The sequence below is a fragment of the Homo sapiens genome, chromosome 2, assembly GCF_000001405.40.
Source record: "Homo sapiens chromosome 2, GRCh38.p14 Primary Assembly".
Lineage (NCBI taxonomy): Eukaryota > Metazoa > Chordata > Mammalia > Primates > Hominidae > Homo > Homo sapiens.
In genome coordinates, this window is record NC_000002.12 from 145,005,795 (window position 1) to 145,023,752 (window position 17,958).

The following is a 17,958-nucleotide window of genomic DNA, read 5'->3' on the forward strand; positions in this document are numbered from 1 at the left end:
TTCCTCTCATAATGTACTCATCATGTGTAAAATAATCATTCACTATTAAAACAAATGTTGTTTTATAATTGTTCCTGTATTTATTCAGTAAATATGCAGTGAACATTTACTATAATCCAAGCATGTTAGGTACTGTGATAGAACAGTAGCAAAATAAAGTCTCTTACAGTCTAGTCTAATTGTAATGGTAGTACATTTAAAATGTATCCACAGTCAAGTAAAGTGTGGTTTAATATAGAGAAGGCCTGGATTCCATAAGAGCATGCATATTGTTTTCTTTGATTCTACATTGGAATCACCCTAAAACGTTTTAAAACACACCAGTGCCTTGGTCTAATGTATGTATTCTTATTTACTTGGTGTAGAACAGACCTGAGACATGAGTATGATGAAGGTGCCCTAGGTAATTCTAATATACAGCTAGAGTTGAGAGCTACTGGGCCTCACTTCTGCTGAAGCCTGCTGCAGAGGCTTAGTTTACTGGATGCTCACACGTGCCCCTCTGGCCAACCATCAGTACCTTATTGGGCTTATTGGGCTTTTCCACCTTTCAGCAAAAATGGTAATAGTCAACGCCTTTTTTTTTTTTTTTTTTTTTTTTTTTTAAGATGGCTTGCTTTTATCCTCATTTTTTTGGTAGGATCTTTGGTACTACCAGTAAGGAATAAACCTGTGGATGCTCTGCTTCATAGCTGCCAGGAATAGCAGCCTTTGGAATTCTTCATTTATAAGTCATCTAATCAATTGAAGATCAGGCATCTGTAATCTTCATCCTCAGATAATGAATAACATCCATTTTATTTCTTTTACCAGCCCCTTTCAGTGTGATATGTTGGCCGTTAAGCTTTGTCTCCAGCTTTTCTCTAATTTTAAAGATGGTTTTCTGAGTCCAGCAATAATTTTTAATTTTTTTGAGTAAAAAATAAGAAATTCTGTGTGTATGATAGATAGAAAAGGATGAATAGTGTTGCTAATTAACCAGATCCACGCTACCAAAGAAAAAATTGGAGGCATTTATGCCAAGTCAGGCCAAAAATAATATTGTTTAAGGTACACAAGTAATTGAAGAATCAAGTTTTTCCTCCATCTGCCATGTATCTGGGTAATTGCCTTATTTCCCCACCATTTATCACACTTTCCTTTTAATTTTGCTGCATAAACATCATGGCCTTACCTTTTGTAGTATTGTTTTTTTCTTTAACTACATACTGATCAAAGGTTTAAAAAAACATGACTATAATCAGCATCATTACTTAAAAGGTAAAATTATTAAAATATAGTAATTCACTAGATAGGACAACGCAATTCAAAGCACCAAAAAGATAACAGGTTTAGCAAAACGGGCATATGTTAGTGATTATGCAATCATTTATTTCCCACAGATGTCTTTTTATAGGAAACTTCGGAAAATCCCAGAAGAACTGACCGAGTCATTTAAACCACAACAGGTTTCTTTCAACATCAAAACCATGGGTACGAGTGGGCGAGGAATTTTTTTTTTTTAAGGCAGGGACAGCCTGGTTCTGACCGTGCAAAGCTGTGGCTTTGCCTCCTATGGGCGCCTTGTGAGCAGCAGATCCGACTTCCTCCTCAAACCAAGTTATCCTGAAAACACCCAAGCAGAGGAAGCATTTTTTCACCATGACATGGGAAAGGGCCACAGGGATCCAAATGGAAACGGACATTTCATGTGAGTGACTGTGTCTACCCCACCTTGGCTTCTTGCCTAATGCAACAGACACTTAGGTGGCTGAAGAGGGAAATTTTTGTTAAAGTGAATCCAGCTCTGAGTTGGACACACAGCTTTTTGACTGGCGGCCGAGTTCCTTGTGCTAGCTGGCAAAATTAGCAAATTTTTCTTTTAGTTGTTGTTACTGGGTTTTTGAAAATGCCTCATTTCCTGGTAGCAGTTTTCTTTCTCTAGGAGATAAAGGGAAAGATCTCTTCTATCTACACCACATTAACACTTCTATCATCTTATAAACTATTTTCTCAACCAGGCATCCCCTGAAGACTCACTCTGGCAGTCCATGGCCTCGTGACAGCTGGCTTATAGCCATATGGTCTCAGAAAAGTCCTCCCTTCCTTGAGTGTGTGTGTTGATGGGAGTCTGTTTGCCATCATCAGAAGGTTCATTGTATGTGTATGACTATGGGGCTGTATGTGTGTGTATGTGTGTGTGTGTGCATAAGGGGTGTGCAGAGTGCCTAGTTGTAAGCTTTAAAGCATTCTCAAATAATACAATAGAGAAAACTAGACACTACAGTGACACTACTTCCCCTGTTGCTTCCTAGGGAGTAACATGTAATCTCTTGTGATGGGCCAACTATTATATTGATGTCATACACATCACTGTGTTAATATGAAATAGGCAGTCTTTTACACTGGTGGCAGAGTGAATTTACACAATCTTTCTGGATGGCATTGTAGTACTACAAGTCAAGAACTTTAAAATTGTCATATTAGGAATTGATTTTAAGGTCATGTTCGTAGGTGTACACTAAGATTCATTAGGTAAGATTTTTGTTGCCAGAGAAAAAGTGAAAACAACTTAAATGTCCAACAGCAGGAGAACAGTTAATCAGCTACAGCATGTTCATCTAATTAAAGATTTTGCAGTTGTGTTTTTAAAGAATATCCAATGATATGGGGATAAGGTTTTAACTAATGTAGAGTGAAGGGAAAAAAGAATAAGAAACTAACACAGTTTTGTGGCAACTTCCTTTAAATATATATGTATTCTTCTATAGAGTAAATCACTAACAGCAAATATACTAAAGTTGTAGCAGTGATTTTCTCTATAGATTGGCATTCCATGTAGGATGGACGGATAGATAGATAGATGACAGATAGGCTAGATAGATAGATATTATATAGAGAAAACTTTTTCTTGTAATGAGGAAAATGCAATTTATTAGACATATAAAAGAAAAATGTTTACCCAATCTATAAATATTTCAAAGTATGAACATATCTAATGTTAAAATATATTTAATAAAACATTTTTCTTTCATAGGTCTAACCACCACAGAAGAGAAATTGTTTAAACCCCAATAAGAAATCCTAGATAGGGCAGGCCAGGTGCAGTGGCTCACGCCTGTAATCCCAGCACTTTGGGAGGCTGAGGCCGGTGGATCACGAGATCAGGAGATCGAGACCATCCTGGCTAACACGGTGAAACCTCGTCTCTACTAAAAATACAAAAAATTAGCCTGGTGTGGTGGTGGGCGCCTGTAGTCCCAGCTACTCGGGAGGCTGAGTCAGGAGAGTGGTGTGAAGCCGGGAGGCGGAGCTTGCAGTGAGCTGAGATCACACCACTGCACTCCAGCTTGGGCTACAGAGTGAGACTCCATCTCAAAAAAAAAAAAAAAAAAAAAAAAAGAAATCCTAGGCAGGGCAGAGGTTTAGAGACCAACTAGTCACGCTCACTACTTTCACAGTAAAGAAACAAGAAGCACAGAGAGGTGATATTTCGTCTATTGTAGTTGTAGCTGGTTTATGATAAAGTCAGAACATGTCCTAGCACAAGTCCATTCCAAGAAACTGAATGCATATAATTCTTAATGTTGTTCTTTGTTTACATTAAGTCATTGATTTTGACTTGAGTTTTGATAATTTGGTTGGCATATTTACCCACCAAATGCTCAACTGTCTCTTGTATTGTGGTTCATTTAATCTTCTGAATTCAAAAAGATTAACACAACATTGACAGTAGCCTTACACTTTATGCGGACAATGTCTGACCAGCCTTGATATGTAGCAGGAGTTTCTGTGTTTGAACCTGTAGCTATTTATGCATTTGCGTTTTAACATGGATGATGTTGAATTACAGACTGCTTAATCAAAAATGCAAGGAAAATAAACCAAAATAAATGATTTTCGATCCAGTAAGACAAGTTCTTTTAGTAAGGTATTTTTTTTTCCTACACGAAGTACAGAACCTTGTAAGAATTCAATAAATACTTGTTGACTGCATTAATAAATGCATGATGTTTGGAAGCACTTCCCTGGTGGTATAGAATTATAATAGTTAGAATTGGCTGCAACATTTAAATAATTCTTTAAATTGATGGAATTGAGATGTCCTGAATTACAAGAATAGATTATTTTGGTTTAAACTCTTCTATTTCACAATATGTAGGTCTTATGTTACAAATATTAACTATGAAAACATTACATAATATTACCTGGTATTCCAACCTTCTCACAATTGAGACAGTGAATATTTACAATTTCTAAGTAGAGAATATTTAAGGTAATAAGTTCTGAATAATATTTATTAACTATATTTAAATGATCCATCTGTTTATTAAAAACTTAAGTCTTTTGGAAATCACTTTATAAATGCAATTTTAATTCTTTACCATATCCATAGACCACTGCTTTCTTAAGAAAAGAGATTAAATGATTCAGGTTTAGAGAAACAAATTACTGTGCTAATCTTCAGGTATTTCTCTTCTTGATGCAGCCGCTAATGTCTAATCGGAGCAGCACAGGCCCTATCACAGTAGTTTTTTCATTAGTGCTCCACTGACTTATTTGTACAGGATTTCAAATCTGGTGTAAGAGACATACTAACCTTTAGCATTCATACAAAGCTTTCAGAAACCCACTGGCTCTTCTAAAATAACCCACAGAATCGGCCTTCTGCAGACTTAGGTGGTGCCACCATTCAGAAAGACTCCAAATGTAATACTGGAGCGAATGGTGGCATTTATAGACTTGTTTTTAAGGTTCCTAGAAATAAAGAGCCAGGTTTCCCTATGACATGAACTATTGAGAAGCCCGGAGGAGGATGGGTGGATCTGTCCCACAGTGGTAAGGTGTTTAGCTCGACCTGATTTTTTTTTTCTTACAAAATTGGTAAGTATAACTTAAAAGCCAGGTTTCCAGCTTTCTTTGATAGTTGGAGATCTGACAAAACTGGGTTCTCTTCCTCTCTTGGCACTAACCTGCTCGTGCTGGGTAGAGGCTGCCTCTAGATGAGGCAGGTGCCCTTTAATTTGCCACACTCTGCCTCTGCCCTTGCCTGCTTCATGCATCTATTAATACATTTCCTGCTCTGTCAGTATGGACATTATTTTTTAACCTCTGTCAAAGAACGAAAGCATTGTTGGTGCTTCCTTCTGCTCTAGGTGTGTTTCATAACTTGACTCAACATTTAATTCCATATTGCATTAGAAAGTACACTGAAATTTCAATAGGTAAATTTCTTTTATATCTTTTTAAGTCTGAATTATTATAAATGTTCTGCATTTATTTTATATATTTTTTTCTGCTTTTAAGGAAACGATGAAAGTCTTCCTAACCAGTCTTTCTCGCTATTGCAGTCTTCGTTGCTCTCCCTGTTTTCTGAACTCTTATAGCATTTATTCTCTCTACCTAATAATTTAGCTCTTAAGATTGGCTCTATGATGTTCTAAAATTCTATTGAATGTGTTAAACCTTTTTCTCCATGACGGGCAGAGATAATGCCTTTTACTTTCCTGCTGTCGTAGAGCCTAGCAAAGTTCTGATACACAGCAGATCTGAAGTATGCTTATTGGTTAAGTATTTTCCAATTTCATACGATTTAACCTAAAACATTAATTTTCTTTAGCACAAAAATCATGTATATGGCAAGTCAAATAATACCAATTTCTTTTTCATGTCTTTAAAAAAGAAGTATTTCTAACAAATGCATAATGTAAAAATCTAAGTTCTTGCCCTGAATTTCTATTGCCTTATACATTTCTTCTTATCACTACTGAGGCAGTGTTGTCCTCTTTTAATTTCTCTATTAACTTTAATTAGGCTCATGAGTTTGCTGGCCAGGTGGGTTTTCCCCAAACAGTCACAACTCCATATTCCAGGCTAGCAATAGACTTACATTAAGCTGCAGATTTGAAGCAGAATCTAACATTATAAGCTGTAGAAGGTGCCAGTGCCACCACAGCTCATTTTGTCCACTGAGGATTTCAGCAGGCAGCACTTTTAATAAGCCAGGCTCGGCATTTTTCAAGGAATACTTTGGGATCCATTTTTGAAAGCAATATTGGTTATGATTCCATTGCTGGAAGATTTCCGAGAAAATAACGTTTGTCCTCTTGAAAGTATGCTTGGTTCATACAGCATGAAGAATACAAACAGTTCTGAGCAACGGGTTCTAAATTTTACCATAACATATCTCTCACAGGTAATTTTCCAACCGCATTGTAATGGGAGCATGATAGAGTAGTAAGAATTAGTTCCATTTTAATCTTTTATTTTATTTTATTTTGTCTTTTAAGAAACATATACTTGCCTACGTCACTTATATATTTTAGTGCATTAACATAGATGTTGTTTGTAAGTTTCTTATGAAAAATAGTTACAAAGAAACAAAACAGAACTGAAAAGCTTCCTGTGATTCTACAGGGCATTAGATCGTCTCAGGTACTGGCTGCTGGTTTAATAAAAGGATAGGATTTCCATTTACTCCAGGCAGGCTTAATGTATTGTTCTCGGAGTGAGACAGTCAGAATGAGTCAGGAGCCAAAGAATACACTTTATAGACACAAATAATCGTAAATTCAGAATGTCACCTTTAGGCAGAGGCATTTTTATTATTGTTAGTGGAGCTGCTGAGTAGGTTTGATGTTTTATTCTCTTGAGGACTCAATGTTCCCGAGTCCTGGAGCCCTGTCTTTATCAGGCTCGCAAGGAGGGAGCCCAGCCAAACTTGCTTCCTATACTTCTCTATGATTGATAGCAGATGGCATGCTTTAAAATAAACCTATCCATTAGCAGTCCTCAGTGTTTTTACTCAAGGCATTTACAACTGTCTCAAGCAGAAAACACATTCACTCCATGAGCTAGTTTCAGTCCACAACAGCTGTACAGGTGCAAATCTCTCATTAACTCTTAAATAGTAGTAAAATAAACAATGGCTTTTCTCTTACTTTCTTTAAGGGAGTATACTTCAAAGCTGCCGTGGAATTACTCTCCTCCACAATGGAGCTTCAATGGATGGAGGTTTATTAAAACTGAGCTATATTATGCAATGATATGCTTGTCCCAGGAATTCATATCTTATGTGCGTGTTACAGTTTAAAAGTTTCTTTCTATGCTCACAGATTTAGTGGTAAATTACCATTCTCACAGGGGTGTTTCTGAAGAGGCAGAAAAGAAAGGAAAACTCAGCAAGTGTCCCCAGCAGGGCTCAGGTGCCTGGTTTCATGCCTCTGAACTCAACATGTCATGGTGTCATCCTCCTCACCTCCCTCTTCCTGCTCGCAAAGAGAGTGTTCATGCTGAGCTTTTACCAGTATGATGAGTTAATGGTTTATTTTTAGGCAGCCAGTGGATTTCCTTGCATATTGGTAATTAGACAAAAGCAAAGTCATTTTCAAAATTAATTTTTTACCGATACTGAACACAGGTGAGAGGGTTGGCCTCAGGACTTTGATTTGCACTCAAGGGGAGGAAAAAAAGCTTTGTCATTTGAAGAGTATAATTGTTCAAACAGAACTTACCTTGTGCCAGGTGTTGTTCTACAGGCTTACAAAAGTTAACTTATTTAATTTTATCAATAACTCTTGAAGAAACTAGTGATAATCCTAGTTTTACAGTTGAGTAAGCCACTGTGTGCTGTTATCTTTGTTATAATAAAAAGTGAGACCCTAATCAGAGTATTTCCTGAAAGGGGGACTTAAGAGACTGGATTCAGAGGCTTTAGTGCTGGTTTTCAAATTCTTGCTTCAGCAGTTACTCCGTATGACTGTGACATAATAGCATAATATTGGACTGCCCTCTCTCTCAGGGTCCTCAGTTATTATTTTATAACCTTACTTTGGCCTAGAATTGGCCCTAATATGGCTGTTGTGATGATTGGATAAATTAGTGTTTGTATAATGCTTAGAACAGTACCTGGTACTCAGAATGTGCTATGTAAGTTTTAGCTTTTGTGTCATCATCACCATTATTATTCAAGATATTAGATTGACATTAAACACTTGGTGTAAATTAGTCTTGTCTGAAATTATCTTCTATGTCTGGGACTGTATGTTTTGAAAAAAATTAATGTCCAAACAAAACAATTCATTTGTTTTTATTTCACACTTTATTAATCAGACACATACATAGTTGCCAATCAGAGACTCTGATCAGCATGAGGTAATAAGAGTCTTCATAGGAAATTGATAAGATTTTGCCCCAAAGCAAAGTAATTTGACATTCTAGCTTTAGTAGCCTTATTATTGGTGAATGTGCTATTCCCTTAGGCCTTCTGAAATAATGAAACTGGTTAATGGAACCCCTCATTACAGCCTTCCATGGGTCCCCATGGGCCCATGCTGCCATGATAGGTAAACCTGAGCCAAAATATCTCTTCAATGGGCAGCTGGAGAGGCAAAGCCATAAAAGTCATAAAATATGTCTCATGACTGCCCTTCCCCATGCTATTTTTAAAAAGGTAGTCTGTGTTAAAACATTTTCAACAAAGACTCACATAATAGAGGCATGCCATTGATTTCCCAATGAAGAGTATAAATAGTTCTGGGAAATATGATGGAAGAATCCAAGTACGCATGAGGTACTTCCATTGTAATGATTGTCATGGTTCTCATGTGTTTCCTCATCAGAAACCTTTTTGTAGAGACAGTTGCTTTCTTATCTTGCAAATAAGTTTCAGAATAAATATATCTGAATAAAAGGTGAAAAAGGGTTAAGTGACAAGGGGAAATAATAGGTAAAGAATAACATCTATTAGGACTGGGATATTTTATATTGGATATCTAGTATAGATACTAGATATCCAGTGATTACAATTGCAACAACTACTTGGTTACCCGAAATATTTCATTTGGATTTCTAAAAAGTAATTCTGTATTGGTTGTGGTTATAGAAGGTAAATGCTGGGCCAATGGGTATTCCATACTTCTTGTAAGCTTCAAGGGAATGTGGCTAGTGATTTGAGATTACTCAAGGGCATTTTGGTGTGCAGTTTTAGGGGAAGTCGGTACATTAATGGTTCCTCTACACTTCATTACTAGTTTTAGTATTACACTGAATGGGATTAAGTCAGTTAGATTTCTAAACTCTCTAAACAGAAAGAGAGAAGCCTAAGGAAGGGGGCCTACGAAAAAGAGTATACTTGCAGAAGTAAATGTCCTACAGAGAGAAATTAAGTTTTAAGAAATGTTTTTTTTATTTTTTTTCAGAAAGGTAGATATTAGAAGCTTGCATCGATTTATGAATATGTTTAAACACTAAGAGGTTTTTGGTAGAACGAATTGATTCATTCCATCTAGGACCATATTATTGTCGAAGTGAACTGTGTTTTCAGTACATTCATTAGTTACACAGTTAGTTTTATTTTGTAAAATTTAAAATAATTAGTATTTGGAGAGCAATGGGGGAAAGAAAATGCAGGGAACTGAGTATCAAGATACCCGCATTCTACAAAAAAAGCAACTTTGCATCTGTCTACTCTTCAGCCAAGTCCTCTCTCTCTTTATTTCTAAGAGTAAGCTCCCTATGTCTCAATTCCTCAACTGTAGACTGAGAAAGATGGACTGAATCAGAAAATCAAATGACTGGCAGTTGGGCTTATACCCCTCTCCCTCCCTCTACCCTGGTCATGACAGGCAGCAATCACAGACCACAGACTCTCCCTGCTGAGCCAGTGTGAGGCCTCCGAATTCCCACTGCAGTGACCCAAGCAGCCTTCCTATGGTCCTCATCACTCAAACTGAACTTGAAACGAGACATGTTGGCTAGCCCCTAGTCTCTAAAATTCAAATGTTCTAAATAGTCCCACTTTGAGGTGATAGCTAGGTTTAATTGGGCAGATGTGTTAAATGGATAAATAGATAAATAGATAATTCATATTCTGGTAAATATGGCATAAATGTTGGTGTCTTTATATTGCCTTCAGTGACTGCATTCCTAGGAGGAATGCTTCCTAGTAGGAAAATTTTGACATTTTTCCGCATGAGTTGACGTATTTACTATTACATCTTTAGAAATGCTGAGCCTATTGTTTTCTTTGTGTTAGTCACTTGGCCTCTTATCCAAAATAACCTTAAAATACTTTCTGCTGGTTTGTACCCAGTCTGTGTTCTTCAAGTTTGATCAAAAAATTGTGTTGTCAATGTTCTCTTCAATAGCTATTTATCCCTTGAGCCCCTTTCTAGAAACCATTTGTTCTAGTTTTGTTAAAAACTTGAAATTACACATTTCTGAGTAGTGCATATCTGTCTCTATTCCTTTCCAGGCCCTGTTTCATTGGAAAGTTTTAGAAGTTGCAGTGTATTCCCGACTATGGGCCACAGTTGGGTTCCTGTGCATTGTTAGTCCTATGTCAGTATAGGCAAGAGTTACCCAGAGCTTTCTAATGTGAACAGCAGCCTTTTTAAAATCATAAAATTATATTTAGCTTATGAAATGTCACTGATAAATGTTTAACCTATTGAATTATCTAAAATGATAGCAATTTCTTAAACACATATTGAGTTTACCACCACTCCTTGCAATCATCCCTTTTAAATAGAGGAGCAGATGGAGAAAACCAACAAATCCACTTCTTCTTCTTTTTTTTTTTTTTTTTTTTCAGACAGAGTCCTGCTCTGTCACCCAGGCTGGAGTGCAGTGGCATGATCCTGTCTCATTGCAACCTCTGCCTCCCGGATTCAAGCGATTCTCGTGCGTCAGCCTCCCAAGTAGCTGGGATTACAGGCGTGAGCCCCTGTGCCCGCCCCCCCCACTTCTGGTATACCTTTGAATAACACTTTACATTTTGTGGGGTGCTTTTCTGTTCCAGTTGCCAGCATTAAGAAAATGTGGTCTTGTGAATATGATTGTGAGTTGGAACTTAGTAGACAGATTTTGGCTCTTCCCTGATTCTATCTCTATGACTTGAGTAACAATGACCAGTGGCCACAATCAAGGTTTCAACTCTGTAAAACAGGTGTGATGTTGCTAATTTTGTTTGTGTGTGTGGTAAAAATCAGTATTATCTCAGGCTATTTGCCTTAAGCTTTTTATAAGAAGAAAGCCATAAGTAGCATGCAAGAAGCTACTGGTGATGATCATCTAGGATGTTTGTTTCTCACTCTCATGTTCCCTGACTAACAAAGAAATAATGAAATTGTCCTTGAGCCAGAGGAATGGCTGGATGGTGGCCAAGGATTTGGGTTGAATCCCCAGTCATGTTTGACATTTGTGTTAATCAGTTGGGTTTCTTGTCACCTAGAGTAATGTTGACTTGGATATGTATTGTTCAGCACAATGAAACAAGTAAACATTTTTAAAATGTTGAACATTTAGCAAACTGACAGTTATAGGTCTTCATATCCAAAGGCAATGAAGCATTGTTATATGATTAAAAATAAACATAATTTGCATTGACAATAAATAAATATATACTTTAACTCATGGGAAATGTGAGTAAATCGATTAGCAGTAATTAACACATAGTACTTTAAATAATATTTTGATTGTTTAAAAAGCTAATTTTTCTATTGGACATTTACAGTGGGGCAACCAGGGCATTAATGAACCAGGTTCTGGATGGCTATCAGTTTTGATAAAAATCAGGTCAAAAGGCTTGCTCATACAATTTCCTCTTTGAGAAATTTCCTTGTGACTAATCCCAGGAAGATTAAAAAGGAAAAAAAAAACTTTTATAATAAACAAAATAGCAATATAACTTTATATGGAACCTTTATTTTCAAGGGATCCCAGAATGCTCATAAACTGTTATTCAAACCATGCACAGGACCACTGAAGCACAACCACACTTTGGAGCCAGAAGAGGAGCTGAAATGTCAATTGGAGAGGACTTTCCTGCTCTAAAAGGTGTGTGGTCTGCATGACCTAGTAGGGCTTTCCTGGCTCTGATTTCTGCACGGATCTGTGGGTAGAATGCCTCTGCTTTGGAGCTGCACAGGGCTAGGCTGTATTCCTGTGGAAGATGAAAAGTGAAGCAGAATATAATAGTGGAAAGAGGAGGCATGGAATAAGGACTGTTGATGTTCCAGTCACCAAATGGCAGTGACTACACCATAGTCAACAGTGGTTTGGGCTCCTTGCCCCTGAGGTAGAACAACTCTGGACCAGGTGCTATTTGAGCCAATTTCTCTTACGGAAATTTTTGCAGGAAAAAATGTAATGCCTGTAATAACAGATTAGACTAGTTCACGCATAGGACCCTAGAATGTTACAGAGGATGGAGCTTAGAGATTATTCAGTCAAAAACCTTCATTTTGTCTTTGAGTAAATTAGAATGCTCTGAGGGAAAGTGAGAGCTACCTTAGATCAGTATCAGAATCTTCTACAAAAAATTAGCTGGGCACGGTGGCACGCACCTGTAGTCCTAGCTACTTGGGAAGCAGAGGCAGGAGAATCGCTTGAACCTGGGAGGCGGAGGTTGCAGTGAGCCGAGATCATGCCACTGTACTCCAGGCTGGGCGACAGAGCGAGACTCTGTCTCAAAAAAAAAAAAAAAAAAAAAAGAACTTAGTGAGTCACTAGTTACATCTCCTGTGCAATTGGAGAATGAATTCTAAAATCTTTCTAAGAGTTCTTTCAGCAATTCTGTTGACTATGAGAGATTTATGCCCTCAAAAAGCAACTTGTCTTATTGTTGGAGGTCTCCCCTTAGGAACATTCTTCAGACTATTTATTCTTTCATTGCTTTAATATACATTTATTGAGTGTCAATTATTTGCCAGGAATTAAGCAAGGTGTTGAAACACAAAGGAGGATAAAAATAAAACAATAGCACCTCGCAGTTATTGACATCACATACACGTCAGTTAGTAGGTGCTTTACATATATTAATTCATTTACTCCTACAAGAAGTCTATGAAGTGGAAACTATTGTTTTTCCCATTACAGGTGAGGAAGACAGCACAAGTAACTTGCCAAAGATAAGTGGCTAATAAGTGGCAGAGCGAGGGTTTAAAGCAGGCATGAAGGTGCTGCAGCCCATGCACTTAGCCCCAACATCATGCTGCTCTCTGACTCACCAGCTAACCAAGTAAATAAACGACAGTGATGAGGTAAATAAACAGGATGAGGTAAATAAAGAGGCTTACACAGTGCTCTAAAAGGATGCTTTGAAGGAAGGGAAGATCCCAACGAACCAGCCATGAGAAGAACCCTTTACAGAGGGAATAACAAGTGGCAAAGCTTCCCAAGTGAGGGTGGGGAAGAACCTGATGGGTTTTGGAACTCAAAGTTTCTTCCTCTAACGTTCACCAATTTAATCTTTCCCTACATAGAGTAAATTGAGTTCCCCTGCTATTAACATTTGTTTTGTGGATAAGTTAGTCTTTTTCTTTTTAAGAGTATTATTTAAACCATTGATCACTAATTTCATAAGCAAACCTTTGCCTTTTAATAAAGCCTTTTGTAAAGACTATGAGTTTCGTCCTTCATCTCTGCTTCTTTTATTTTATTTTCTGTCACCTCAACTGATGCCTTCCTCTTTCAAATAATCATGTTTGCTAAAAATTATCACCACTGATTCTTGGCAAATTAAAGGAGAGAATGAAAATATATTTAGTGTCTACTATGTGTCAAGCATCATGGAGAACATTCTAATACTTTATCTCATTTAATTCTCACACTTAAGTAAGTTGTATCACTAAATCATTTTACACATGGAGGCCCTGAGGCCTAGGGAACTTAAATTTGCCTGAGGCCACCCAGCTGGTTAGTAGCTAACCCAAGATTTGAAAAATAGGGGTCAGGTCCAGTGGCTCACAACTGTAATCCCAGCACTTTGGGAGGCCGAGGCAGGCGGATCACCAGGTTAAGAGATCGAGACCATTCTGGACAACATGGTGAAACCCCGTATCTACTAAAAATACAAAACTTAGCTGGGTGTGGTGGCGTGTGCCTGTAGTCCTAGCTACTCAAGACACTGAGGCAGGAGAATTGCTTGAAACCGAGAGGTGGAGGTTGCAGTGAGCCGAGATTGCACCATTGCACTCCAGTCTGGCTACGGAGTGAGACTCCATCTTTAAAAAAGAAAAAAAAAAATTGTTTGCTTGATTGCAAAAATTGCTCAATTCTTTTCTATCTATAACTCACTTGAGACGATGTGTGATCTTACCTATGGCAGTGGTTTCCTAAGACAGGGCAGGATCCTCAGTGGAGTTGAGGGCCTGAGGAAGAGGCACACTTCTTCCTCAAGGACAATCCGTACGAAAAAACAGAGAATAGAAGTTTGAAAAGGTACCCCACTTTTCACAATCCCTGTCTCTCTTTTTCCAGTTGCGAATCACTGAACGCTACCACATTTCCTTATGATACTCAGTGTTTAAGCATTTATAACAGTAACAGCAAAAATTATATAGCTGCTAATATTTATTGAGGACCTCCTGTGTGTCTGGTGTGTTGGTTTTATTCAGTTATCCCAGAAACTCTATACCAGATGTTATTATATTCCTTAATTTACCAATAAACAATAAAGCACATAGGAGTTTGTTGAATTTTATGGTTCCTGCTTTTTCTCCCCGTATCTGTATCTATCTATCTTTATCTATCTATCTATCTATCTATCTATCTATCTATCTATCTATCTATCTATCTATCTATCCATCCATTCATCTCTGATATCAGGATATTTCCTACAATTAATGGCATCTTATAATCTCAGTCATAGCTTAGTTGTCATTGCCTATAGATGCATGCACTTGGTCATAGGTGATTGCAACATTTTACTTCAATTGTGTTATACATGCGTTGTTAGAACTATGTATGTTGAGTGTAATTACCTTTTAAAATATTTTTCTAATTGTTGTTTCAAAATTTTGTTGACTCGTTGTGATCAAAAAACGTAAAATCAAAACTTACAGAATAAATTTCTAATAATTTGGCTAAAAAATCCAACCTAGAGCCAATGGCATAGTACTCAAAGAAATGAAATGGCATCAGTGTTCTTGTTGGCACTCAGAATGATATTGTGTTAAAGAAAGCGAAGTGATAAGCAAGCATCATGTTATTATTTAATTAGCATTGCTTTTACTTCCTTACAAGTACATCAAATAAGCCTCAATGTTAGGATCGATGACATCTTAAATCTGACGAAATATGATGAACAACTTGACCAAATAAACATAGAAGATAACTGGTAATGCCTACAATCACAAGACTTGTGAAGGGTACACTAAGAGTTTAAACCTTGGTGATTCATGTCTCAGGCTCTTGATTACTGAACTATCCTGACTTTTAGTAGAGCAGTGAGAATTTTTTTTCTGTCACACATATCACAGATGGACCAACTTATTAAAATTATCAAAAATAAAAATATTTATCATGCATTACACCTAGACAAATACTATATAACTTAGAATATGGCATAATAAAAATACAAATTTTATCACAGTTGATTATGGTCTCAGAATAAGATAATATGCTTTCAAATAGTAATATTGATTTGACCTATTGTTAGTCTTCAAGGACAGTGATTAAAGATGGTTGCCATTTAAAAACAAAACAATGTGTCCATTCTACATGCTAGGTTCCCCTAACATTGTATTTCTTTTCCTAAGGGATGAAACTGGTGGTCCATCAGGTAGACATACCTAGGTTTGGCACATAAAAAGTAAGCCAAAATACTCCATTATCTTATAACAAGAACAAAAAATAGCAAACAAAACTACTTAAGGAAGAGATAAAGAGTTTTCTGATGGAGGACTAGCCTTGAAATTAAATATTTCCCTATGCAAGTTGACATTTAAGTTGTATGACTTAAGAGAGATAAGAAGAAATTGTGTGAAACATAACCTTAAATATTTTGGATCACATTTTTGTGAATTATGCAGCATTTGGCACAAGTTTTAGGAAACAGAAACACTCTGGGGTAATGATGAGTATTTGCACACACTTTATGTGAACATGTATGCACACTAACACGGTTATATTTATGGCATAATGCACCAGATATACAGAATATGTCTATGTAAAATTGTTTTATTTGTAACATTTCCATCCTGGGACTAAATGTTGGCTCTTTAAAATTTGTTTTTATGTATGCTTCCATGCCGAACTTACAGAATATAGTTGTTGTATAGCACAAATGTTCTAACTTTTCATGGGCACTCAAAAATGTCCTTTGAGAAGTCACCCTAGAGCATCCTTAGAAATGGCATGTTGTAGTCTGGACAGAACAAAGCAGCAAAAAGAAATAAGATGAAACTATGTTATCATTGGCTCTCCTTTAAACATACGAAAAACTCTCAGAAGAGATAATGTGCTGTAGGGAAAAGCTCTGTGTGGGCACAGGGTGTGCACAGTGACCTAATGGGCCTTTTCCATCTCTAATTCCTGTGATACTGCAGATCTAAGAGATGGAGCTGGTAATTGCTTACAACATAACAGATATGTAGAGATATGTACATATATTTTTTCCTCTTCCTCTCCTTCCCCCCACCTTCCCTGGAGTTCAGCTGAGAGTCTCTTTAAACAAACAAAAACTGTGAGAAACTAAGAGAAGTCAGAGACTGGCCTGCTTTTTAGAGGCAGAATGTGGAAAGTATGAAGATGCTAATTTGACTGCAAAGGCTGGAAAGCAAAGGGACCTGAGCCATTTATACTACAGGCAGTAGTTAAAAAGAGGGAAAAAAAAAAACCTTGAAAAAAATGGGTGTAACCCTGGGCTTTGATACAACTGGCCTTTCGGCCCCCACTTGAGATTTGCACATCCCCAAGGGAAGCTGTGGTTTGGAATAAGATGGTGCATTTAATTTCACTCAGAGAACTTATTGGACTTGGCACCAAAAGAAAGAATTTGAAGTATATTTTTTGTCATGATTAGTGGCCCCCTCACCACAACATTTGATTATTTTGGAAAGGGAAAAGTTAAATCCTTGTAAAGTTGTGATTTACAATTTGCAAGCATCCAGGTAGGGAGTTTGACTTCTGCCAGCTTGATCATGGGATCCACATTTGATTCTAGCTCATTGATGTTTACAAAACAGTTCTGTGGGGGGAAATAGAGTTGGAATTATATCCCTTGATTATCCTGGGTGATTTTCTCTCCACACTACATCTTTTCTCATTCACGATGATTTTGGTCTCTTCTGGAACTCATTGCAAGAAACTGGCATGTGGCTGGTTTGCTTTTTGTTTCTAATCTGCAGTATCTGGTATTTTTATCATGTGATTCCTTTGCCCTCACAGTTATGTAAATCTTGAGGCAAAGGAGTTAAAAGGAGTTTCTAATTTTATACCTGAAAATAGCTTTCACTGGATGTTTTTTCTCAAGCTTTATAATTAAGATTGGAGATCTCGTGGGTATTTTAATACGTACTCAAATATGTCCAAACAGCCAGAGGGGAAGTGAATGACCAACTGGGTAGGCTGATGAATATTTTCCTGGTAAATGCATAACTTTCCCCACAACTGTGATGCTTTATCCTTTGACATTAAGAATGCTGTTTGCAGAAGTAACATTCCTTTGAACACTCAGCTTTCTGAAATGGTGTCCCACCGCAAGGACTGGAGAAGGGTGAGTTTGAGCTCAACGCTGGAGTAACAGCCAGGCAAATTAGGTTCTGTCCTAATGTCTAACATGGAAGTATGGTCAGTCAGGTCTTGAAATAAATCTTAAGGTAGACTTAAAAATAATAAATTCCACCTTTTCTACTACTTTTGAATTTTTTGGGTCTATTTCTAGTTGAATTTGGGCTTGTTGGAAAACTGTCTCGAGTATTTGGGCAGTGAGTTTTCACCACGCTTCCTAAGTGAAAGCAGTTTGCTGAATAATGTCAATATAGCAATGTTAGTGGTATTGCTGGCAGAGGAAAAATGCTTTTTACTCTCATTCTGGACTTGAGCAGGAGATAAAGATAAATTCAAAAGTTTTATTGGTACTTCGGAAGTGCTATACTTGTCCTGATTTGAGCATGGTGGTCAGGCATGGATGATTGATGGCAAAGAGGCTAGGTTCCAGTCCCAGCTGGTGGTGAAACCTTGGGCAAATGATTG

At 37.3% G+C, this 17,958-nt stretch overlaps 2 long non-coding RNA genes across 2 annotated transcripts in view, besides 1 other annotated feature; both read left to right on the forward strand.

Annotated features, from left to right (window-relative positions):
* TEX41 (testis expressed 41) overlaps window positions 1–17,958 on the forward strand; it is a 408,763-nt gene that overhangs the window by 337,828 nt on the left and 52,977 nt on the right. The window lies entirely within an intron of this gene.
* The window catches only part of LOC100505498 (uncharacterized), a 257,710-nt gene continuing 240,358 nt past the window's right edge, over window positions 607–17,958 (forward strand). Inside the window, exons 1-3 of the long non-coding RNA XR_923410.3 lie at window positions 607–1,690; window positions 11,738–11,817; window positions 12,859–17,479. This is a non-coding gene — a long non-coding RNA (uncharacterized LOC100505498). The remainder of the gene's footprint in view (window positions 1,691–11,737; window positions 11,818–12,858; window positions 17,480–17,958) is intronic.
* Window positions 1,042–2,241: an enhancer, noted in NCBI's record as "CDK7 strongly-dependent group 2 enhancer chr2:145764403-145765602 (GRCh37/hg19 assembly coordinates)". NCBI's record gives its function as "activates an origin of replication core promoter dependent on BRD2, BRD4, P300/CBP, MED14 and CDK7 cofactors, with strong dependence on CDK7, by STARR-seq in HCT116 cells {active_cell/tissue: HCT116}" and the evidence as "EXISTENCE:reporter gene assay evidence [ECO:0000049][PMID:35650434]".